Genomic DNA, 22,905 nt, shown 5'->3' on the forward strand with positions numbered 1-22,905 from the left:
GGGTGACAGAGCAAAACCCAGTCTCAAAAAAAAAAAAAAAAAAATAATAATATTTTACATAACCAACCACTTCTAAAGATTAAAAAAAAAAACCCTACAATTAATTAAAAACCTCAGGTCCCTCAGGCAATCATACCAGATATTGAAACAAAGCAATAACATAAGGACTGCAGTATTTATTTTATTTTTATATTATTTATTTATTCTTCGTTAGTTTGTTTTTGGAGCGTGGGTTTTGTTTTGTTTTTTGATTTTTTTCTTTTTTTCGACCTACGGATTTATTCTTATTGCCCAGGCTTGAGTGCAATGGCGTGTTCTCAGCTTACTCAACCTCCGCCTCTTGGGTTTGGGTAATTGTTGTGCCTCGGCCTCCCTCTGCCTCTTGGGCTTGGGCGATTGTTCCACCTCATCCACCCTCCGCCTCTTGGGTTTCGGTGATTGTTCCACCTCATCCACCCTCCACCTCTTGGGTTTGGGTGGTTTTTCCACCTCGGCCTCCTGAGTAGCTAAGGGAGGAGTCTTGAGATTATCATCCACTGAGGGTGGAAGAGGAGAGGGTGGAAGCGGGACAAAGAGACATTCCTTCAGATTATCATCCACTGAGGGTGGAAGAGGAGAGGGTGGAAGAGGAGCAAGAGGACACTCCTTGATATTATCATCCACTGAGGGTGGAAGGGGAGTGAGCAGACACTCAGTAGGTGTCTTGAGGCTCAGGGAGTTATCAGTTATAGAATGTTGTTGAGTTGGAGGAGGTGGCTGGCGGCCCATCCTGTTTTTTAAAGTTTCAGCTGTGAGGTAGGGCCAGTAGGGCAATCCTGAAGAATGACGATGCTCCGCTGCCACCATTCTGACCTGTAGGGCCAAAGGAGGGAATGTTTTCACACATATTCATTTGATGGACAAAATTACCACCACCAACACAGTCTGCACCTTCTGTTGCTGGTGATAGATTTTTGCACCTTTCCATCCTCCAGGTTTCAAAATAGCAGTATCAGTGTCATAATATCACCCTTCCACTGAGTACTGCCGACAGCTGGGGGGTAAAGAAAAGTCATTGGGACACACTGTTGTCTCCACATGCCACTGTGTCTGTCTGCAAATGTAGGCAGGCTGGGGTCCTGCCCCAGGGAAGACAGAGTCATAACAGAGTAATAAAGAAGCATGTTTGAGACACAGGAGTGTCTATGTCTATCCTCATTCCTCCCTCACAGCCATCACCAGAGCATGTTTCTTGCACCAGGTCAACAGACAGTAAGAGACAGTAAGAGAGGCATGAAAAGCCCATTGTCCACACATGTTGCAGCTTCTTTTTGGAGAATGTTTTCCAGGCCTTTTATGTTCTGTCTCTGACTCTCAGAACTCTGCAAGGTCAGTGTGACCACCCTGCTCCAAATCTAAGAAAACAGAGGTTTCCAGAGGAAGGAGAAATTGTGCCCAGGGTCACACAGCTTGCAAGAGGCAGAGTGGAAGTTGATTCCAGCTCTGCCTGCAGGACCCTCTCATTTCCCCTCTGTTTCCCTTCTTGACAAAGGATCTTCTTCACTCTGGAGGTGCCACCCATGAGAACAAAGAGCTCTGGAGAGATGTGGATTCCTGAAGAGCTGCAGGGGAACTGGGAGAGGGTTTTCTGACAGAACAATCTCACCTCAAGAAGTCACTTAGGCATGGCTGTAATATTTCTTTTCACTCCCAGGTAATACCAAATTGTAAGTGCACTAGGACATAAAGAATACTTTTGTCCATGGAAAAATGAGGTGGGAATTCTAAACAAAGCAAGTTTTAAAACTGTGTTTCACTTCAAGTGTACAAGTCCCATCACGTGTAATCATAGGACTTGGCAGCTTTTGAAGGTACAGAGGCCACACAAGAACCAGCTTAGCTGAGCATCATTTAAGGCCTTCATTTGGAATTGTCCCTGTGGGTAATAAGTTACATTCACTCTTCACTAATTTACAGTCAGGGCCCATTTGCTATTACAAATATGGAACCTCTGACACTTTGAATTTAGATCAGGGGCCCCACTGGGTGGGGATGAAGGTGTTTTTGCACAACACGGTTACCAACAGGGATGGGACTGTGATGCCTGTAGGCAGCCTTCCTCTCTGCCATCTCCCTCTGCAGGGCTTGAGCACAGAGCTGTAGGGAGAAAAATGTATCCATGTCCTGACCTGGCAGACTATGTTCAAAAGCAAGGAAAACAAACAAACTTACCCAGTTGCAAAGAGGCTTTCTTGCAGAAGGGGGGATCTGAAAAAGCCAACACATGAGAAATTGAATGTTGAGAGAGTCTAAGAGCCGTGGCATCATCTGCATCAGCACTGAACTATCCTGCAACTGCGGGGAGGAAGCTCCTTACTTTGCATTTGTGGTAGTCCTCTGCCCGCCGCCGCAACTCTTGCGCACGTTGAAACATTTTCCTATGGATTACAATCACTTTCATCAGATAAAGCACCACGTTCAGGATGATTTTAAATAATCTGCCATGTTTCTGTTATCCTCACAACTGTACCCTTACACAATCTATCTCTACCTAGAAAACGTATTTCAGATGGCTATAAGAGTACAGTCTGAGCCGGTCACGGTGGCTGATGCCTGTAGTCCCAGCACTCTGGGAGGGCGAGGCGGATGGATCACGAGGTCAGGAGATTGAGACCATCCTGGCTAATACGGTGAAACCCCGTCTCTACTAAAAATACAAAAGATTAGCCGGGCGTGGTGGCAGGCACCTGTAATCCCAGCTACTCGGGAGGCTGAGGCAGGGGAATCACTTGAACCTGGGAGGCGGAGGTTGCAGTGAGCCAAGATCACATCATTGCACTCCAGCCTGGGTGACACAGCGAGACTCCATCTCAGAAAAACAAAAACAAAAACAAAAACAAAAAAACTGTACGGTCTGATCCAAACTGTTGCTGTATTGATTCCTCCTCTTGCTTACTGCCTGTTGACTTCTGAGATGATAGTTTCCTTCCCCATTCTCAGTATATCCCTAATTCATCCTTCATTGAGCATCTTTTATCATAAAGCTGTATTCTCTTTGCATTAATATCCTCACCGTGTTTCACAGGGCAGAAACAGCTGGGCTTATAAACAGGCATAGTCCTTTTGAAGGATGTGGTTGATCCTACAACAACACACTTTCCTAAGGATGACAACAACTCACCCCACCCCTAGAATGGCTGGTATGAACCGAGTTTCCACACAGTCTAGCTGGTAATGGGGTCAGGAGCCGTTTTGCTACTTCACATCTTTTGGTCACTGGTAAATATTAAGGTACTTTGTTTTCTGTTTTGTGAACTCTCTCTCTCTCTCTCACGATATGTCTTCTGACCGTTTGTTTCTATTTCTGCATTTACTGGGTCTAAACATTGTACAGAGGTTAAAAACAGCACTCCAATGGGCGTTTCCCAGGAGGGTGGGGTTCAGTTTCTGAACTCACTTGTAGGTGTGTATTTCTTTCATATCCAATTTCCCATTTTCCTCTGCCTCTGATACCTGCCTCTCCTTTTCTGCGTGCTCACATTCTTTCATGCTTAGTTTCCTCAGGTTAGAAGGGAGAGAAATGCACACACATGATCCACCAGTCCATGTGGGATTCCCTCTGCCCTTCTGGCATCTGAAGGCTGTGATTCAAAGATCCCCCCTGCAACCTTCCCACAAATGAACCAACTGATTCTCACAACCGAAGGGAGAATGGACACCTCCCATTGAGGGACCAAAAAAAATCACACTCTGGCCTGCTGGCAAGTCACCTGTCATTTCCAGCTCATCTTCATAGTTCCATAGTTAGTCCTATTCTTTAGTAAATATAAAGACTATTAAAAGCTTCTATGAGGTGCACTATGTGTGTCTCTGGGGTCAATCTTGTGCTTGACACAGCGAAAGATCATTTTAGTTCAGTGTGAAAAACCAGACCTCACCAACTCATCACAACTAACTCCATAGGAAGCAGAGGATTGCTCCTCATCTGACTCTTCCTGTGTGAGACCTGATTCTCAGTCAGAGGCTGATGCCGGAACTGAGACCATCAGCCATAGAGAGATCCTTCCAGAATATGGTGTCATTAACCCCGCAGTTCACTACTGCACTTTGCCATGATTCAGGACTGGAACTCTTGTCATCGACTTTAAAGATCCTGGTTGAGAGAAAAGGCAATCTGAATGCTGGGCGCATCTATTGAATTAGAAATGATCGGAATGGCTCCTAAGTCAGGGTGTTATGTCCTGAAAATAGGTGACAACGGCAAACCATCCACCCTGGTGTTGACTGACTTTAACAAGGTTCAGTTCACAGACATTGAGGGCAGAAAAAGGAAATGGCCTAAAAAGGGTAAGTTTGCTGTGTTGCCCTCACACCACTTGATTCATGGTCCTGATCCTAAGGATCTCACCTGATACTTGGTTTTATAGGAAGGATGTGTAAAATTCCCAGAACGCTAGGAAACAGGGGCGAAAACACTTCAAAGAGAAAGTTAATGAACTTGTTTCTGACCACAGGGCATCCTTCAGCACATGCTGTCTGGAGTGGCCTCCAACAAGGAGTGTGTGGTGTGGTGCTGAGAATGCAATGGGAGCAGGGTCCTGTCCCCACGGTAAAGAAGCTCACAGCTTAATGCAAATGAGAAGCCAGTGAGGACATCACTACTCCTGCTGTCCACTTGGGAACTAGAAACACAAAACCTGACTCTGGAGGGAAGCTAAGGAAGCATTCTACTCTTGAGTTGACATAAGTGCATCTGAAGCTTCTGATCTCCGATGAGAACAATGGGGGACACCAAACAGAATATAAAACCCATGATTGAATACATCAAATTGCTAACATGGCAGTAAACAGACATGAGGTGAAGATGGAGAAGAAGGAAACCCAGGACGAAAGTCAGCCTCGCATTTGGAACCCATTTCCCTGAGTTTCATTGCTGAATTCCAGAAGGAACTACTGAGATGTAAAGAAGCACAGCAGCTTTTGCACACATGCGTGGGATTAGATGGAAAACAAGTGGATTGAGGGTCTGCCAATGAAAGCGACCCGTACTGAAGTCCACTGGCTCTGGTTGAGACCCAGAAGAGTCATGCATCAGAATAGAGGTGGACAGGAAATACCCTGGCCTTTGTAGGGACTGAGCCTGCACCGACGACCTCAATTGCAGCCTGTATGGAGGACCCGTGACCATCCCCCAGAAGTAGACTCCCATCTCTTCTGCAGCAAGATAACATGCCACTAGGCCTCAATTCATTGCTAAATATTTTTTAACAAGTATCTCACATTTAACAAAAAGAGCTCAGTCATATGGCAGCAAAATACAATGTAATATGACCAAAACATGAAAGACTGTGAAAATGAATCTGGAGGTGACCCAAGCATTGAATTCAACAATCCAGGCTGGGTGCGGTGGCTCACACTGGGAGGCTGAGGTAGGCAGATCACCTGAGGTCAGGAGTTCAAGACTAGCCTGGCCAACATGGTGAACCCCTGTCTCTACTAAAAATACAAAAATTGGGCCGGGCACGGTGGCTCACGCCTGTAATCCCAGCACATTGGGAGGCCGAGGTGTGTGGATCATGATGTCCAGAGTTCTAGACCAGCTTGGCCAATATGGTGAAACCCCGCCTCTACTAAGAATACAAAAATTATCCGGGCATGGTGGCATATGCCTGTAGTCCCAGCTACTCAAGAGGCTGAGGGATAAGAATCACTTGAACCTGGGAGGTGGAGGTTGCAGTGAGCCAAGATCATGCCACTGCACTCTAGCCTGGGTGACAGAGTGAGACTCTGTCTCAAAAAAAAAAAAAAAAAATTGGCCGAATGTGGTGGCACACACCTGTAATCCAAGCTACTCAGGAAGCTGAGGCAGAATTGCTTCAAACTGGGAGGCAGAGGTTGCAGTGAGCCAAGATTGCACCATAGCACTCCAGCCAGGGCGACAGAGCGAGATTCTATCTCAAAATTTTAAAAAAAAAAAAAAAAGGCTGGGTGTGGTGGCTCACACCTCTAATCCCAGCACTTTGGGAGGCTGAGGCAGGTGGATTACCTGAGGTCAGAAGTTCGAGACCAGCCTGGACAACATGGTGAAACCCCATCTCTAGTAAAAATACAAAAATTAGCTGGGCGTGGTGGTGGGCACCTGTAATCCCAGCTACTTGGGAGGCTGAGGCAGGAGAATTGCTTGAAGCCAAAAGGCAGTGAGCTGAGATTGTGCCATTGCACTACAGCCTGGGCAACAACAGCAAAGCTCCATCTCAGGAAAAAAAAAAAGAGAGAGAGAAAGGAAAACCAATGCCAGTACTAGCAACTCCTCTTCCCCCGAAAAAATTACAAACAAGAATGTAGGAAGGGAAAGGAATTATACAGCTTAAACTAATGAAGCAGAAAGGACAAACTCAATTTTGAGCCCACTGAATTTGCCACAAATATTGTAGAAAATATTCTCAAGGACTTTACAGTTGTCTACTTTGATTGGCACATGGTTCATACAACAGTATTTGTGTCAAGGCACATCTTACTGTTTTCTGGCGGTCTTCCTCTTTCCATTGATTTTGTCATGACGGTTGATTTTCGTTGTCACCTTCCTCTTACGGATTTTAGCTCTAACTTTTGTTTCCACATGCCTCCGTAGAGTAATGACGTCTTTCAGGCCAATTTTATTTCCTCGAAAGGAAGAAACTCTTTTCTTTGTGTGCATACAAATGGACCTCAGCCCTTGGTGAGAGTGAGGAGAGGAGAAGGTGAGAAACCTGAGGTCAAGAAGCTGTTCTTTCCCTTTCCAGGGCAAACTCATTTCCACACTATGGGGACTCCAACAGAGCCATACCTTTCTGTCTACTGCGGTTGGACCTCCAGGCTCTCTGCTGTACATCCATGGATCCATCATGTCCATTTCGAGACCAGAAGATAGTCTTCAGGAAAGACACCTAGGAAATAATAATATAAGAATGACGGCTGGGCACGGTGGCTCATGCGTATAAATAATCCCAGTACTTTGGGAGGCCGAGGCAGGTGGATCACGGGGTCAGGAGTTCAAGACCAGCCTGGCCAAGATGGTGAAACCCTGTCTCTACTAAAAATACAAAAATTAGCCAGGCATGGCAGCGGGCGCCTGTAATCCAAGCTACTCGGGAGGCTGAGGCAGAGAACCATTTGAAGCTGGGAGGCGGAGGTTGCAGTGAGCCGAGATCACACCACTGCACTCCAGCCTGAGCGACAGAATGAGACTCTGTCACACACACACACACACACACACACACACACACACACACACACACACAAGAATGACATGAGGCTGGCACGGTGGCTCACTCCTGTAATCCCAGCACTTTGGGAGGCCGAGGCAGGCGGATCACCTGAGGTCGGGAGTTTGAGACCAGCCTCACCAACATGGAGAAACGCTGTCTCTGCTAAAAATACAAAATTAACCAGGCATGGTGGTGCATGCCTGTAGTCCCAGCTAGTCAGGAGGCTGAGGCAGGAGAATCACTTGAACCCAGCAGGAAAAGGTTGTGGTGAGCTGAGATTGTGCCATTGCACTCCAAACCTGGGCAACAAAATTGAAACTCTGTCTCAAAAAAAAAAAAAAAAAAAAAAAAAGAGCCCAGGTGCGGTAGCTCACGCCTGTAATCCCAGCACTTTGGGAGGCTGAGGCGGGTGAATCACAAGGTCAAGAGATGGAGACCATCCTGGGCAACATGGTGAAACCCCGTCTCTACTAAAAATACAAAAATTAGCTGAGCATGGTGATGCACGCCTGTAGTCCCAGCTACTCGGGAGGCTGAGGCAGGAGAACTGCTTGAACCCAGAAGGCAGAGGTTGCAGTGAGCCAAGATCCCACCACTGCACTCCAGCCTGGTGACAGAGTGAGACTCCGTCTCAAAAAAAAAAAAAAAAAAATGACATGAATATACTTCACACAACTGAACTGTACACTTCAACACGGTTAGATGGTAATTATCATCTTATAAGTATTTTCCCACAGGTTAACATGTTTCACAACTTGAAAAGGAAGTAATTACCTTCAGCTCTCTGAGTTCTAGAATTTGTAACATTTCACCCCCTGCTCCTTCCTGATCTGCACTGGAGCATCTTCCTTCTGTCCCTGCTCTACTCAGAGTTCACTTTCCCTTCCCTCACATCAGCTTCATTGAGGCTGGTTTGAACTTAACGCAAAACATTCTCACTAATGACTGAATTCCCACCAAGATTTCCATATTATCACAGTATGCTTTTAATCTTCTAAGATATTAAATATTTGTTCTCATCATAGGGAAAATGCAATGCAAATCCCATCTCAGATGTGGGTCAGATACCTATGAATGTCCTGAGGTAGTCATTGAAATGACTTTTTTCTTGAGATGGAGTGTCACTCTCAACCATGCTGAAGTGCAGTGGCACTACCTTGGCTCACGGCAACCTCCACCTCCCAGATTCAAGCGATTCTTGTGCCTCGGCCTCCCAAGTAGCTGGGATTACAGGTGCCTGCTACCATGCCTGGCTAATTTTTGTCTTTTTAGTAGAGATGGGGTTTCACCATGTTGGCCCATCTGGTCTTGAACTCCTGACCTCAAGTCATCCACCTGCCTCAGCCTCCCAAAGTGCTGGGATTACAGGCATGAGCCACCACACCTGGCCTGAAATAATATCTTTCAAATTCTTTGTAGAATTTGTTTTTTCCTGATTTCTGCACATAGGATAAAAAAAAAAATCATGTACTAGGATTTCGAGAGAAGCAATGGGTAATCTAAAAAGATGAAAAGAGCAACCACGTCAATCCCACAGCTACTACTAGATTTCATAGGAAAGGTAGCTGGCCCAGTTTGGAGCTAGGAGAAATGTCAAACACATGAAGAAATGACAAGCAAAGAAATGCCATCACGCATGAATGCTTCATGGCACCCATGATGTCCCTGCTTAGGAGGTAATGGTATAGATGACTAGATGACAAGGACAAAGATGAGAGGTGCGAAGTTGTCCAAGTCCAGCAGCTCAACTGAACTTTCCTAAATGGAACTGTTAAAAAGTGGTAAATTTAAAAACTTCCCCTGGCTCACGTGGTGGCTCACGCTTGTAATCCCAGCACTTTGGGAGGCTGAGGCGGGTGGATCATTTGAGGTCGGGTTTTGAGACTAGCCTGGCCAACATGGTAAAACCCCGACTCTACTAAAAATACAAAAATTTGCTGGGCATGGTGGTGGGCACCTGTAATCCCAGCTACTTGAGAGGCTGAGGCAGGGGAATCGCTTGAAGCCAGGAGGTGGAGGTTGCAGTGAGCCGAGATCACACCATTATACTCCAGCCTGGGCAACAGAGGGAGACTCGTCTCGGGGGTGAGAAAAGAAAAAAAAAAAAAAAAGCTTCCTCCAATTTATACCGAAAATTCTCTGTTCAGGACTAAGTGGCATAGAGAATGTTAAGTGTGCCTAGATATCTTCATAACTCATATATTTTCTGTTTTCTACATATCTTGAAAGGCAGTGCCAAATGACGTGTAATTATCTAGGTGGTAAAACTGAAACATACTTCCTCTTCCCTTGAATATAAAAAAGCATTGTGGTATTAGTACTTTTATCTTGGATCATTGTTCAGGAGGTTCAGCCCCCAGAAAACCACATTTTTACTGTCATGAATGGCAAGACAAAATGTAGAGCTCAACTTACCCAAAGGAAAAAAGGCTCAAAAGACAAATTATGGCACAACTTAGCAGCCAAATTCTTACCAAGTACAGACTTTTGACATACTGATCTCTCTCCAGTTGCAAGTGGGAACATGCACTTTGAATGATGTCATTCAAAATTACCCTGCCCAGACACACTTTTCATTGATTCTCTTGGAGGGCAGTTCTAAGAGATTCTCTGGGGCTTTCTCTGCATCATGAGACGCAGTGCAGTTCTGCCCTTCACCTTCCGGCAGTTTGTCACCTCGTCCCTATGACCTCAGAGGAACTTTGTCTCAGGCCAATTGTTTGTTCCTTGGCCTCTTTCATTTCCCCTAAAAATCATTTGCTGCCCCTCTAAATGGCCTACATCTCCATCTATCTCCCTCTCCCCTCAGAAGAGGGTGCTCTTTAAGCATCAACCATCCGGCCCTTCTAGCAGTCTCATTTTTCAGCTGGTTCCCATGTTTATGCCTGTTCTATGTTTTTCTTTTCCTGTTAAGCTGTCTGTTGTCAGCTCATTTCTGCAGTGAATCTTCAGAGAGGAGATTGGAAGCTTTCCTTCCACCCATACGATAGAACTATAAAGCAGAAGAGTTTAGAAAGAATTTCCTATTTAAGTGACGAAACCTCATACTCCATTTGTGATAAATAGCACAAAGGCTAAAAAAACTTATTTTTGACCAAAAGCTCTGTTGACATTCTATTAAACAAACACCGACCTATTTAATTTTCATAATGTAAATGGCAGACATTTTCATAATTCTTATGCTAATAAATCATTTCCCTGATTTTTTGGGTAAAACCACATATTCATAATGAAGTCCAGAAACGTGAATTGTTTTATATAATTTATTCTTATTTGTGATTACAAGTATACCTCTACAGAAAGTTAGTATACTCACACAAAGGCAACTTGTGCAGAAGAGAATGTTAAATGTGTAACGTCTCAGAAACCCAATAATGATAATTATCAAATTATCCAATTTTTGTGGAGATGGGGTTTTGCCATGTTGGCCAGGGTGGTCTCGAACTCCTACACCAAAGTCAGTCTCACGATGACGATAGACAGCCAGACTATTGATAACCTGGAATAATAATAGTTGAAATAATGAAAAGGTCAATGACACCGACAATATTTCACTCAGAAAGAATCATCCTTAGAAACCGTCAACCTCCTCCAAAAGGTAACCACATCCCTCAGATATCACCGTGGGATTCCACTGCTACAAAAAAGAACAGAAGTTAGAAGTCTCATGTTTTTCAGATGGCTGGTAGTGTTTTTAGGCATTGCAAATGTGCGGTGTTGTCTTTCTTGGTATAAAGCAGGGATATCCAATCTTTTCACTTCCCTGCCTATATTAAAAGAAACAAAGTTGTCTTGAGCCACACATAACATACACTAACACTAACAATAGCTGATGATCTAAAAAAAAACTCTTTTTTTTTTTTTTTTGGAGACAGAGTTCCGCTCCACTCAGTCGCCCAGGCTGGAGTGCAGTGGTGCAATCTCGGCTCACTGCAACCTCCAGCTCCTGGGCTCAAGCCATTCTCCTCCCTCAGCCTCCCGAGTAGCTGAGATTACAGGTCTCTGCCACCATGCCTGACTCATTTTTGTATTTTTAGTAGAGATGAGGTTTCACCATGTTGGCCAGTCTGGCCTTGAACTCCTGGCAGGCGATCTACCTGCCTCGGCCTCCCAAAGTGCTGGGATTACAGGTGTGAGCCACCGTGCCCAGCCATTTTTTTTTGTTTTTGTTTTTGTTTGGTGTTTTGTTTTTGAGATGGGGTCTCACTCTGTCACCCAGGCTGGAGTGCAGTGGCGTGCTCTCGGCTCACTGCAACCTCGGCCTCTCAGGTTCAAGTGATTCTCCTGCCTCAGCCTCCTGAGTAGCTGGGAGTACAGGTGCCTGACAATGCACTCAGCAAATTTTTGTATTTTTTGTGGAGATGGGGTTTTGCCATGTTGGCCAGGGTGGTCTCGAACTCCTGACCTCAGGTAATCTGCCCGCCTCAGCCTCCCAAAGTGCTGGGATTACAGGCATGAGCCACTGTACCTGGCCAAAATCTCCTAATGTTTTAAGAAAGTTTACAAATTTGTGTTGAACTGCATTCAAAACTGTCCTGGGCCACATGCAGCCCGTCACTCATGGCTAAGACAAGCTAAGTATAAAGTAATTATCTTTTCTTTTTGTTTGGAGACAAAGTCTTGCTCTGTCACCCAGGCTAGATTGCAGTGGCATGATCTCAGCTCACTGCAACCTCCGCCTCCCGGGTTCAAGCGATTCTCCTGCCTCAGCTACTGAGTAACTGGGATTACAGGTGCCTGCCACCGCACTCGGCTAATTTTTGTATTTTGAGTAGAAACAGGGTTTCACCATCTTGGCCAGGCTGGTCTCCAACTCGTGACCTCTTGATCCACCTGCCTCGGCCTCCCAAAGTGCTGGGAATACAGGTGTGAGCCACTGCACCTGGCCAGTAGTTATCTTTTCTTTAAAGTTATTTACTTGTTTTTTAAATTGATGTATAACATTGGATGCATTTATTATATATCACATGGTAAAAGAATCCCTCTAAATAATACTTCTCTCTTGGATTATATGAATCTTTGTCATTTGAAGCTCAGCATAAGTAAAAAAAAAAAAATACAATGAAGAGATTACTTCATTCACAAATAAGTATCAAATTTTAGTGCTTAAAAATTAACAAGGTGGGCCGGGTGTGGTGGCTCACGCCTGCAATCTCAGCACTTTGGGAAGCCGAGGTGGGTGGACCACGAGATCAGGAGATTGAGACCATCCTAGCTAACACGGTGAAACCCATCTCTACTAAAATTACAAAAAATTAGCAGGGCATGGTGGCACGTGCCTATAGTTCCAGCTACTTGGGAGGCTGAGGCAGAAGAATCACTTGAACCCGGGAGGCAGAGGTTGCAGTGAGCCGAGATCGCACCACTGCACTTCAGCCTGGGTGACAGAGCGAGACTCTGTCTCAAAAAAAAAAAAAAAAAAAAAAAATTACCAAGGTGGAGATCATGAAAATGGCATGAATAGTGTGGGATTTCTCTAAGATTGTTGATATTAATTCCAGTAGACTCTTATGTGAGTGAAGACGAAGACTTCCCCTGAGTAAGTTCAGACAGCTTGTGATAACATTTCTACATCGATTCCTCAGGATTTAACTATATATTCTTGAAAACATCTCAATTTTAAATGTTTCTTTCAAGATGGTGAATTAAACAGAGATAGCCCTTCAACAGGTTGAACTCAGCATATGCTGAGTCTGAAATGGAAATGATGGAGTTAGAGAACCATACAACAATGGTAATGATTTCAGAAACATGGTGTTGAGCAGAATAAAGCAGACACAAAAGAGTACCTATGGCATGGCACGCATCTGTATACGCGAAATTCCAGAATAAGCAAGCTAACCTATGATAAGAAAGAGACTGGCTGGGAAGAGTGAGAGTTCACTTTCTGGGGTGACATAATAGTGTAGATCTTGGCTGGGCACGGTGGTTCACGCCTGTAATCCCAACGCTTTGGGAGGCCGAGGCGGGCGGATCACCTGAGGTCAGGAGTTCAAAACCAGCCTGACCAACATGGAGAAACCCTATCTCTACTAAAAATACAAAATTAGCTGGGAGTGGTGGCACATGTCTGTAATCCCAGCCACCCGGGAGGCTGAGGCAGGAGAATCGCTCGAACCTGGGAAGCAGAGGTTGCGGTGAGCTGATATTGCCCCATTGCACTCCAGCCTGGGCAACAAGGGAGAAACTGTCTCAAAAAAATAAATAAATAAATAAAATAATGTAGATCTTGAAAGGGGGTCGGTTTATGCTGGTGTAAGTACTTTCCAAAGTTAGTAAACTTACACTTAAGGGTATATATTTTGGCCAGGCGCGGTGGCTCACGCCTGTAATCCCAGCACTGGGAGGCCGAGGCAGGCAGATCACGAGGTCAAGAGATGGAGACTATCCTGGCGAACATGGTGAAACCCCGTCTCTACTAAAAACACAAAAATTAGCCAGGCGTTGTAATCTGAGCTACTCAGGAGGCTGAGGCAGGACAATTGCTTGAACCCCGGAAGCGGAGGTTGCAGTGAGCCGAGATCTTGCCACTGCACTCCAGCCTGGGCGACAGAGTGAGACTCTGTCTAAAAAAAAAAAAAAAAAAAAGTCATCAAACCAGATGACACAAATCAAATGACATTTCACTTTGTTTTGGTCCATTTTGTTTGTTAGAGACAAGAGTGCAGCGGGGCCATCTCAGCTCACTGCAACGTCCAGCTCCTCGGCCCAAGCGATCCTCCCACCTCAGCCTCTCCAGTAACTGGGATAACAGGTACGCACCACCAGGCCCGACTAATCTTTTTTGGAATTTTTTGTAGAGATGGGGTTTCGCCATGATGCCCTGGCTAGTCTTCAACTCCTGGACTCAAGTGATCTGCCCACCTCGGCCCCCTAAAGTGCTGGGATTACAAGGCCTGAGCTGTGTAATTTCATGCCGCGTGACACAGCCCAGTAAAAAGGAAGAAACCCCGCGGGTCCAGCGTCTACTCACAGGGGTGGGCTGATGGCTGATAAATCCCAGCAGGAGCCAAATGAGGAGCCAAAAGCGCAGCCGCATGTCATGATCCTTTCAGGGTGCCCTGAGGCGGCCAGGACAGAGGTGGAGGTGGCTTAGGGCAGGGGGGAGGGAAGGGGACGGGGACCGGGGCGGATCTGAGTTGGGGAGGGGCAGGGGAGGGGGAGGGGAAGGGGAGGGGGAGGGGAAGGGGAGGGGGAGGGGAAGGGGAAGGGGAGGGGAAGGGGGGAAGTAAGGGAAGGGAAAGGAGAAGGGGGCTGTTGGGCACCTGGAGGAGGTGGAGGAGGGGGAGGAGAAGAAGAAAGGGGTCTGGGAAAGGATCCGGTTCAAATTAAGTTCTCAAGCGCTGGTGGAAGGTTTAGCTACAGGTCACGGAGAAGATCAGGGAAGCAACAGGACACGCGGGGCAAGGGAGCGTGAGGCTTAGGAGCAATTAGAGGGAGACAAAAAGGTTCTGCTATCCGCCAAACCTTCTTCGGTCTGGGCCCTCCCTTAGCAAACCTGGGGCTTTATACTCCCTCTCCACCAATCCCTGATGACCCCGGTGGTGCCTCACAATGGACAATGCCAAGTAGCGCCCGCATCATTCCAATGACCCCTCCCCCATCTCAGTCTCCCACACTCCTCGCAAGGACAGGTCCTCTCTGGAACCTTCACAAACCTGATTTCTGGTCCTCCCCAACCAGCTCCCTGTCCCTGCTTCTGGGCGCTCCTTCCTTCCTGAGCTCCCAGGGTTCCTCAAGGTCACTTTTGGCGACAAAACATAAAAAACAAATGATGGCAGGATGGCAGGAAGAACCTCATACCCAAGCAGAGTGCCAGGTTTTACAGCCTCCGCTCAGCCATTCATATCCTAAGCAACAAAACATCAGCAGGATGCGGAAGGTCCCGATAGTAAACCATCTCCATCACATCCATGTAGCCATCCGTCCATCAACCTGTATCTCAGGAACAAATGTAGATACATTCATTTTAAGCATGCATGGTACATTTACAAAAATTAACCTGACTTATTTTGTTCCAGCAAATCTCAATATATTTGAGAGCAATCAAATCACACAGCACGTTTCTGATCATATAACTGTGCTAGAAGTCAATGATTAAAAGCTAATTCAAAATTATTATTTGCTTGGAAATTCAAAGTGCCCTTATAAGACATAAACATAAGAAAGAATCCAAAATGAAACAAGATTGCCTTTCAACTCAATGATAAGATCATAACATGGCAATAAAATGTCTCCCTCTGGCCTGGGAATTCCTCTTTGTGGCACAAGGTTGTGTGATCTCAAATCACCCCTAACCCACCTAGACATTTTAACATCCGAAACCGAGTGATGATGTCCTTATCTATAATCATCTTACTGCCTGTGTGTGTGGACTTTAAATTCTGAACCCAAATGAGGGGGAGAAAACCAAGTTGACCTTCATGATTGACCTCTCAGGGATGTCCAAGGAATCTGTGCATTTCAAGAAACAAAGTTCATCAGCTTCTCTCCTAAGGTATTTGCCCACAATACCCAGAGGGCTTGGCAGCATCATGTGTGATGGGTGGGGAGCTCCAAGCAGGTGGGCAGGACGCAGGGGTCTGGTGACCAGGACAGACCCCCACTGTCCATCACCTTTCCTGGCCCTGTCCTCAGCTAAACTTCCCACAGGCCTTCTGCCTGATCACACAGAGTGTGCCCAAACTCACTCAGGCCTCTGGGAGCTGAAAACCACTGCTTTAAATCCCTTTACCATTTACTATGACATAAGGTTATTGTAAACAGGAAATATTCTATTGATGCTACAAATGGAAAGCCAATGCCTTTACCATAAATAGAAAAACAACCCTAAGAAACAAGCAAAACAAAAACAAAACAGGGGCTGGGTGTGGTGGCTCACGCCTGTAATCCCAGCACTTTGGGAGGCCGAGGTCGGCGGATCACAAGGTCAGGAGTTCCAGACCAGCCTGGCCAATATGGTGAAACCCTGTCTCTAATAAAATATAAAAATTAGCCGGGTGTGGTGGTGGGCGCCTTAGTCCCACCTACTTGGGAGGCTGAGGCAGGAGAATAGTTTGAACCCGGGAGGCAGAGTCTGCAGTGAGCCGAGATTGCACCACTGCACTCCAGACTAGGCGACAGAGAGAGACTCTTGTCTCAAAAACAGCAACAACTACAAACAAACAAAAAACAGGGTTAACAAAACTATGGAATTCAATTCTATTTATATGCTGCAGCCATGTTCCAGCCCTAGATTTGGCTGGGCATGGTGGCTCACGCCTGTAATCCCAGCACTTTGGGAGGCTGAGGCAGGCGGATCACGAGGTTAGGAGTTCGAGACCAGCCTGACCAACATGGTGAAACCCTGTCTCTACTAAAAATACAAAAATTAGCCAGGCATGGTGGCACCCGCCTGTAATCCCAGCTACTCAGGAGGCTGAGGCAGGACAATCCCTTGGACCCGGGAGGCGGAGGTTGCAGTGAGCCGAGATCGTACCATTGCACTCCAGCCTGGGTAACAGAATGGAATGAGACTCTGTCTCAAAAAGAAAAAAAAAAAAAAAAGCCCTAGATTTCGGTTGTGTTGGTTGTAAAAGGAGAGACCAAGTAAGTGGGGGTTGAAGTCAGATTAGACCAAAAGTGAATGGCAGAGAGTACTATAATGTCCATGAAGGGTTGCTAGAGTCACCGTGATCATAGCCCAAGCAGAGACAGGGAAAGGAAGATGTGAGCAGAGTTTGGGGTCTCGAACAATGGAGGTTATTCGTGCAGCCCAGGAAAGGCTCCCCAAAGCCAGGATCAACCTCCCTTGCAGGCGGTCCCTCATGGAGGCATGGCCAGGCACCTTAGATTTGAGACCAGCTATGTTGCTGCTGACCAGCTGTGTGACCCTGGGCTGGTTTCCTTCCATACAATGGGAGTGCCAATGGCTGCATGCATGCAAAGACCGTCTGAGGATAGGAGGAAGCAATCTGTTGAGCACCCGTGTACCTGAGTGTCATCACCTCCCAAGGGCATCTTTCGTTCCAGAGCTGGCACCTTGGAAGGCCCTTGGTCACTGAAGGCAGTGATGATGGTAACAGCAGTAAATCATCATTTACGGCTGATGAGGGAAGGCCAGGGGTAGGGCTCCTAGGTCCTGGATAAGAATGAGGGTCTGGGCACTCCTGGGGACAGCTGAGTGGTAGGACTCCTGGGTCCCCAGGGTGCAGGTCCATCTTCAGTGGCATTGGGCCTAGGCTGGGATGCTGAGTTATCCACTGGAGCATCAGCAGTACAGGCAGGCACAGAGGCAGTGGATCCATCGGAGGTGGCAGGTGTAGGATCATCTGGTGAGCAAGTAGAGTCACCAAGCCTGGCTGACCACTACCCCCACTATCCCCACAGACGATGCCCTGTCCCTTGCCTCATGCTCCGGCAGGGTACAGGCTCGCACCTGGGGCCTCATGGAGCATCTCTCTAAGACCTCTGTGTCCTGGTCATTGAATGGGCACTTGAGTCACCCAGGGCCATTGGAACAAAGAGGAAGAATCAGGCCCCACGCTGTTTTGGGAGAGTGTTTAGCACAGGAAAATGCACAGAATACATGCACGACACGGGGGCACTGTCAGTGTGGGAGCAATAGTTCACAACCTCCAGCCCTAATCTGAGCACTCTCACCTGTGCAATCTGAAAGGAACAGGAGACTTGCAGGAAAGACAGTGCCTGGATTTAACTTAAAGGAACTAAAAATGTTGGAATTTTTACTCTTGATATCCTTCCAAATCAACTCTCTCAATGTTCCCATCCTCAAAACTATCATATGGGGTAACTGAGGCAGTCAGAGATTTACTGACTCAATGTCACTCAATTGATTCTGAGTTCACTGCTGATTACATCCGACCAAACTGCTTTTTCTGAAGTCTACTCTGTTTCATCATGCTGGTGATGATTTTGTGCGGCTCTGGGACAAACTCCACCTGGCTGAGGATAAAGCAAATCTGCGGTGACTTAGTCCTCCTGTCATTTCCCATCAGTTCCCCACTCTCCTCCTCTGCCCCTCCACAGTCTCCCATGCAGGCTGACACCATATGACAGCCTTAATGGAGTCCACCAAGTATTTCAGGTTCTCTCTTGGGCCACTTGAAAGTGGATGTACCCATGGGATTTGCTTTGACCCAAGAGATGTGAGTGGAAGTGAAGCGTGTCACCTCGAGGCAAAAGAGTTGGGAGCCATTGAGACTGGCCACCCTCTCCTTCATCTCTTAGAGCAGCTGACAGCTCCCATATGGAGGCTGCTCCTTTATTCTCGTGGCAGGATGAGGGCATGTGGGGCACAGGGCACAGGAGAGCCATGGAGGATGTGCAGCATGGGCAGGAAAAGAGCCTTCAGTGGTGTACATTTCCATCGTTTGGGGCTGTTTCTTACCTACAGTGATACCTAGCCCATCCTAGCAGGCATGCACCATCTACCCCACACTCTGTGATGCAGACTAGCCTGCCGTCAGAACAGGAACTGGTGGTCAGACACACGTAGGTTTCAGTTCCAGCTCTGCCTCTTATTGACTGTAACCTCAGGCTTAACTTTCAGTCTCTGAGCCTCAGTTTCAACTCTGTAAAATGAGGTGGCTATACCATCTCAGGTTGCAGAGAGAATTAAATGAAATATAAGTGCATGTAGAGCATTGAACCCAGGGCCTGGCACACACAGTCAGTACTCAATGTTAGCCATGTAGCTTCATGATGCATACTGATTGTCAATATTCAGACAATCCAGTAAAGTATTACCAAAAATAAAAGTAAACTTATTTGCATATGTATTCTTTCAATCTTTATTTTTAAACAGGGTAAAACTATGCATATTCTTTCATAGCCAGTGTTTTTCTCTTCATAGTATATTGTTAAAATAATTTTATCTTGGACCGGGTGCAGTGGCTCACACCTATAGTCCCAGCACTTTGGGAGGCCACGGTGGGCAGATTACGAGGTCAGGAGTTGACACGAGCCTGGCCAATATGGTGAAACCCCATCTCTACTAAGAATACAAAAATTAGCTGGGCATGATGGTGCACACCTGTAGTCCCAGCTACTCAGAGGCTGAGGCAGAGGAATTGCTTGAACCCGGGAGACAGAGGTTGCAGTGAGCCAAGGTTGTGCCACTGCACTCCAGCCTGGGCGACAGAGTGAAACTCTGTCTCTCTCTCTATATGTGTGTGTGTGTGTGTGTGTGTGTGTGTGTGTGTGTGTATGTGTGTGTGTGTGTGTATCTATATAAATCTCAAAAATAAAAGATCATTTTTGAGATTATCATTTTAAAAGACAAGATAATGTTCAACTTAATGACTAATTTAATTATTACTATTGGACTTTTTGTAGACTGCACAGAGCATTCAAAACAAATGAAGGAGAATAAAAAATATGTATTACATGTTGTAAAATAAATGTGATGTGGTTAATTCTTTTATTCAAAATTATAGAACATATATATGTACTATAGAATGTATTTCTTATTATGAGTCATGTTAAAAAGTAGTTTAGAAGCTGTTGATTTGAATTTCCTTTTCAAATTTTGCAGGATAATTTTTTTTTTTTTTTGACAGAGTCTCGCTCTGTCGCACAGTCTGGAGTGCAATGGCATGATCTCGGCCCACTAAAACCTCCACCTCCTGAATCTAAGCAATTCTCCTGTCTCAGCCTCCTGAGTAGCTGGGACTACAGGCTCACACCACCATGCCCGGCTAATTTTTGTATTTTTAGTAGGGACGAGGTTTTGCCATATTGGTCAGGCTGGTCTTGAAGTCCTGGCCTCAGGTGATCCACCAGCCTCAGCCTCCCAAAATGCTGGGATTACAGGCATGAGTCACCATGCCCAGCCTAAACTTGGCAAGATAATAAATAACCTTTTTAAGTGTTGTTGGGCACTTGTCTGGTTGTTTTTCTTTAGGTTACCATGCCAGCAATGATTCCTTTTGAGTTTCTGACAGAAGATAGTGGTTTTCATCCAAATAAGTCAACTACTCTACCCCATCCCTAAGCCACTTGTATGGAAAGAAAAAGAGGAAGAAGCCAGTACTGTGACTGCGTAAGCTTCCCCCAGCATCACCCGCTATGAGATGTGTGGCAGCTGAGACCCGGGAACTGCTCAAGGGCACCAGGCCCCATCTGTCTGCACTCACTCACCTTCCTCAGGTACTCGCATGGGCATGTCACTGACTTTACATGCTGCTGCAGCTCCTTGGTGAGCTGGCTCTGGTCATGCGACAGGAACTGTGGGGTCAGGACAATAGAGAGCTTCACCATTTGCAGAATGAGAACAGGGGCTCATCATGAGTGCCAACCTATTAGATAATTTAAAAAAATAGTGTTGAATGAGTGGAAAAACAAGGTGATGTTTGAGTCTATAGTGGTCAAGGGCTTCAGAAAAGGACAGAACCAAGTTCAAATTCCTGTACTTTGAATTTCTACTTCATGCCATGCAAAATTACTTTACCCCTTTTAACCTCAGTTTTCTTCTGTGTGAAACAGGAACAATAGTTTCATTCGTCATTCAGTTTCTCTCAAGGTTTCACGAGATCATACCTATAAAACATCCAAGTCATTTAAATGTATCATCATTTCTGTCATAATTAGTGGGATCCATTTCACTATTATTGGATATACAGTTCTGTGCCTGAAACCTACAAAAAAAGAAAATGTTAAGTCTAAAAAGCATTAGTGATTTCTCATTTTTATATTACTAATTATAACCCTATTTAATCACACAAGGCCTTGTCCGTGGCAGGTGCTCAATAAACACTTGTCGAATCAATGCATGTGGGCTCCGGAGCCACACTGTTTAGATTCTATTCTGCCTCCACCACTTATCAGCTGTGTGATCTGGGTAAGACAATTCACCTCTTTATGTCTGCACTTCCCTCTCCATAAACTATATATAATGAGAATCCTTAGCTCATTCGGTTGTGGTGAGGGGTGAATGATTTGGCACACAATCCCAGCTACTCGGGAGGCTGAGGCATGAGAATTGCTTGAACCTGGGAGGCAGAGGTTGCAGTGAGCCAAAATTGTGCCACTGCACTCCAGCCTGGGCGACAGACTGAGACTGTGTCTCAGAAATAAAAATAAAAATAAACAAAAATCAATGAACTAAAAACCAATTTCTAGTGGTTTCTAATAAGGAAAAAATGGTTCAAAAAACTGCTAAGCGAGATCAAGCAAAACAAAAAAATCTATTACGATAATGTTTTTATAACTGGTATTTAAAACATTGTTGATTCATTCTTTATTTTTATTTTGAGACAGAGTCTCACTCTGTCACCCAGGCTGGAGTGCAGTGGCAGGATCTCCGCTCAGTTCAAGCAATTCTCCTGCCTCACCCTCCCGAGTAGCTGGGATTACAGGCGCCCGCCACCACGCCCAGCTAGTTTTTGTATTTGTAGCAGAGACCGGGGTTTCACCATGTTGGCCAGGCTGGTCTCCAACTCTCGATTTCAGGTGATCACCCCCTGCCTGGGCCTCCCAAAGTGCTGGGATTACAGGCTTGAGCCGCCGCGCCCGGCCCTTGTTTTGTTTTCTAGATTGAAGAAAGGTTTTTCTCAGAAGTTATCTAGAATTTACACCGATTTGGTAAAGCACACTTTTGTGAACAAAGGTGGGTGGAAGCGTTTGTTTTTCCTCCCTATCTGATCCTTCTAAAGTTTGGAAACTATTCATAAATATTCTTATTTTCATGTACATATGTTCTCTTTATAAGCAGGCTACAATCAGAAAGATTGGTTATATTATCAAGGCTTTGACTGAAACATCCTATTTAAGAATATGCAGAAAATTCCTGGCTTCGAGTTTGCAGCCTTACGTTACAGTCAGGGGGAAACTGTCACTCCCTGCAGGCCTGAGAACCTTAGAGCTTTTCGGGGAGCAACTTGGCAAGGGGGGGTCCCAGCAGCTGCTCGCGGGCCAGGAACCATGGGGCACAGCCCCGGGCGACCCTCGGGCCGGCGGGGGCCTTCCGCTTCCTGGCGTCTTTCTTCCCCGCCCCGCCGGCTGCTGGGGAAGCGGCGGGCGCCCAGTGCCTGGAGGTCGCTCCCTCGCCTCCTCTGGCTGCGGGAACGGAGAGGCGGCGGCGGCCGGAGCAGGGTGGGCGGCCTGAGCCGAGAGCCCGGCCGGCCCCCGCGAGGAATATGGCGACCTGCGGCGACCGGAGCAGCAGCGGCGTCAGTTGCTGCACCGCCGACTTCTTGGAGCAGCGAAAGCGACTCGCGAGAAGACGCCGCCAAGTGGAACCCGGGCCCTGCGGCCCTGGGAGGGGGCAGCAGCGACACAGCCATGAAGCCCCGGGCGCGGCGCTGGGCGCCAACGAGAGCCACGGCAACCTCCAGACGGCGCCACAGCAACCTCTAGGCAGTGCCCACACCAGCCTACAGGTGGCGCCCCTCGCACTGCACCTGCCGCGGCCGCCCCGGGTGTGAACTGCGCTGTCAGCAGGGCCGCGCTGACCCGGGTGGCCCAGGCCCGCAGCAGCCGAGGAGCCCAGGGGCACTGCCCGGGGTGACGAGAAGGAGAAGACGGTGCCCCAGAAAAAGGCAAGAGCTCAGAGCTCGGGTCCCCGTGCCAGGAATGGCCAGGAGCAGAAGATGGAGAGGTGGAGATGGAGAAGGAGAAGCAGGAGGTGGGAAGGAGCGGCGCTCCACCGGTGGGGTCAACATGCGCTGGCTGAGCTTAG

General features: G+C 46.7%; 1 protein-coding gene across 7 annotated transcripts; it reads right to left on the reverse strand.

Moving 5' to 3' along the window:
- Positions 1-180: 180 nt before the first annotated feature.
- On the reverse strand, positions 181-22,444 carry NPIPB6 (nuclear pore complex interacting protein family member B6). 7 transcript variants are annotated; one of them, XM_005255741.5, is made up of 10 exons: positions 20,687-21,172; positions 20,367-20,453; positions 14,492-15,161; positions 14,200-14,287; positions 10,543-10,725; positions 6,806-6,905; positions 6,498-6,693; positions 2,357-2,417; positions 2,212-2,247; positions 181-852 (listed from the first exon to the last, which is right to left on the reverse strand). In XM_005255741.5, exons 4-10 carry the CDS (start codon positions 14,263-14,265, stop codon positions 271-273), a joined length of 1,224 nt encoding a protein of 407 aa, XP_005255798.1. In that variant the 5' UTR covers positions 14,266-14,287; positions 14,492-15,161; positions 20,367-20,453; positions 20,687-21,172; the 3' UTR covers positions 181-270. The 7 variants fall into 7 exon arrangements, with proteins under 7 accessions (XP_005255798.1, XP_047290530.1, NP_001269453.1 ...); XM_047434574.1 differs by having other exon boundaries at positions 14,885-17,536; NM_001282524.2 differs by lacking the exons at positions 14,200-14,287; positions 14,492-15,161 and adding an exon at positions 22,083-22,444 and having other exon boundaries at positions 20,367-20,524; positions 20,687-20,765.
- Positions 22,445-22,905: the final 461 nt, after the last annotated feature.

Source organism: Homo sapiens, chromosome 16, assembly GCF_000001405.40.
Source record: "Homo sapiens chromosome 16, GRCh38.p14 Primary Assembly".
NCBI lineage: Eukaryota > Metazoa > Chordata > Mammalia > Primates > Hominidae > Homo > Homo sapiens.

Bases quoted from the DNA above. Each gene is read 5' to 3' on its own strand.
- NPIPB6 (XM_047434575.1), bottom strand. From the start codon at position 20,486: ATGGTGAAGCTCTCTATTGTCCTGACCCCACAGTTCCTGTCGCATGAC. The intron at 6,906-10,542 runs GTGAGTATACTA...ATTATTTCCTAG, and splicing joins TCTGCACAAGTTGCCTTTGT to GTGTCTTTCCTGAAGACTAT. The intron at 6,694-6,805 runs GTATGGCTCTGT...ACTCTCACCAAG, and splicing joins CAACCGCAGTAGACAGAAAG to GGCTGAGGTCCATTTGTATG.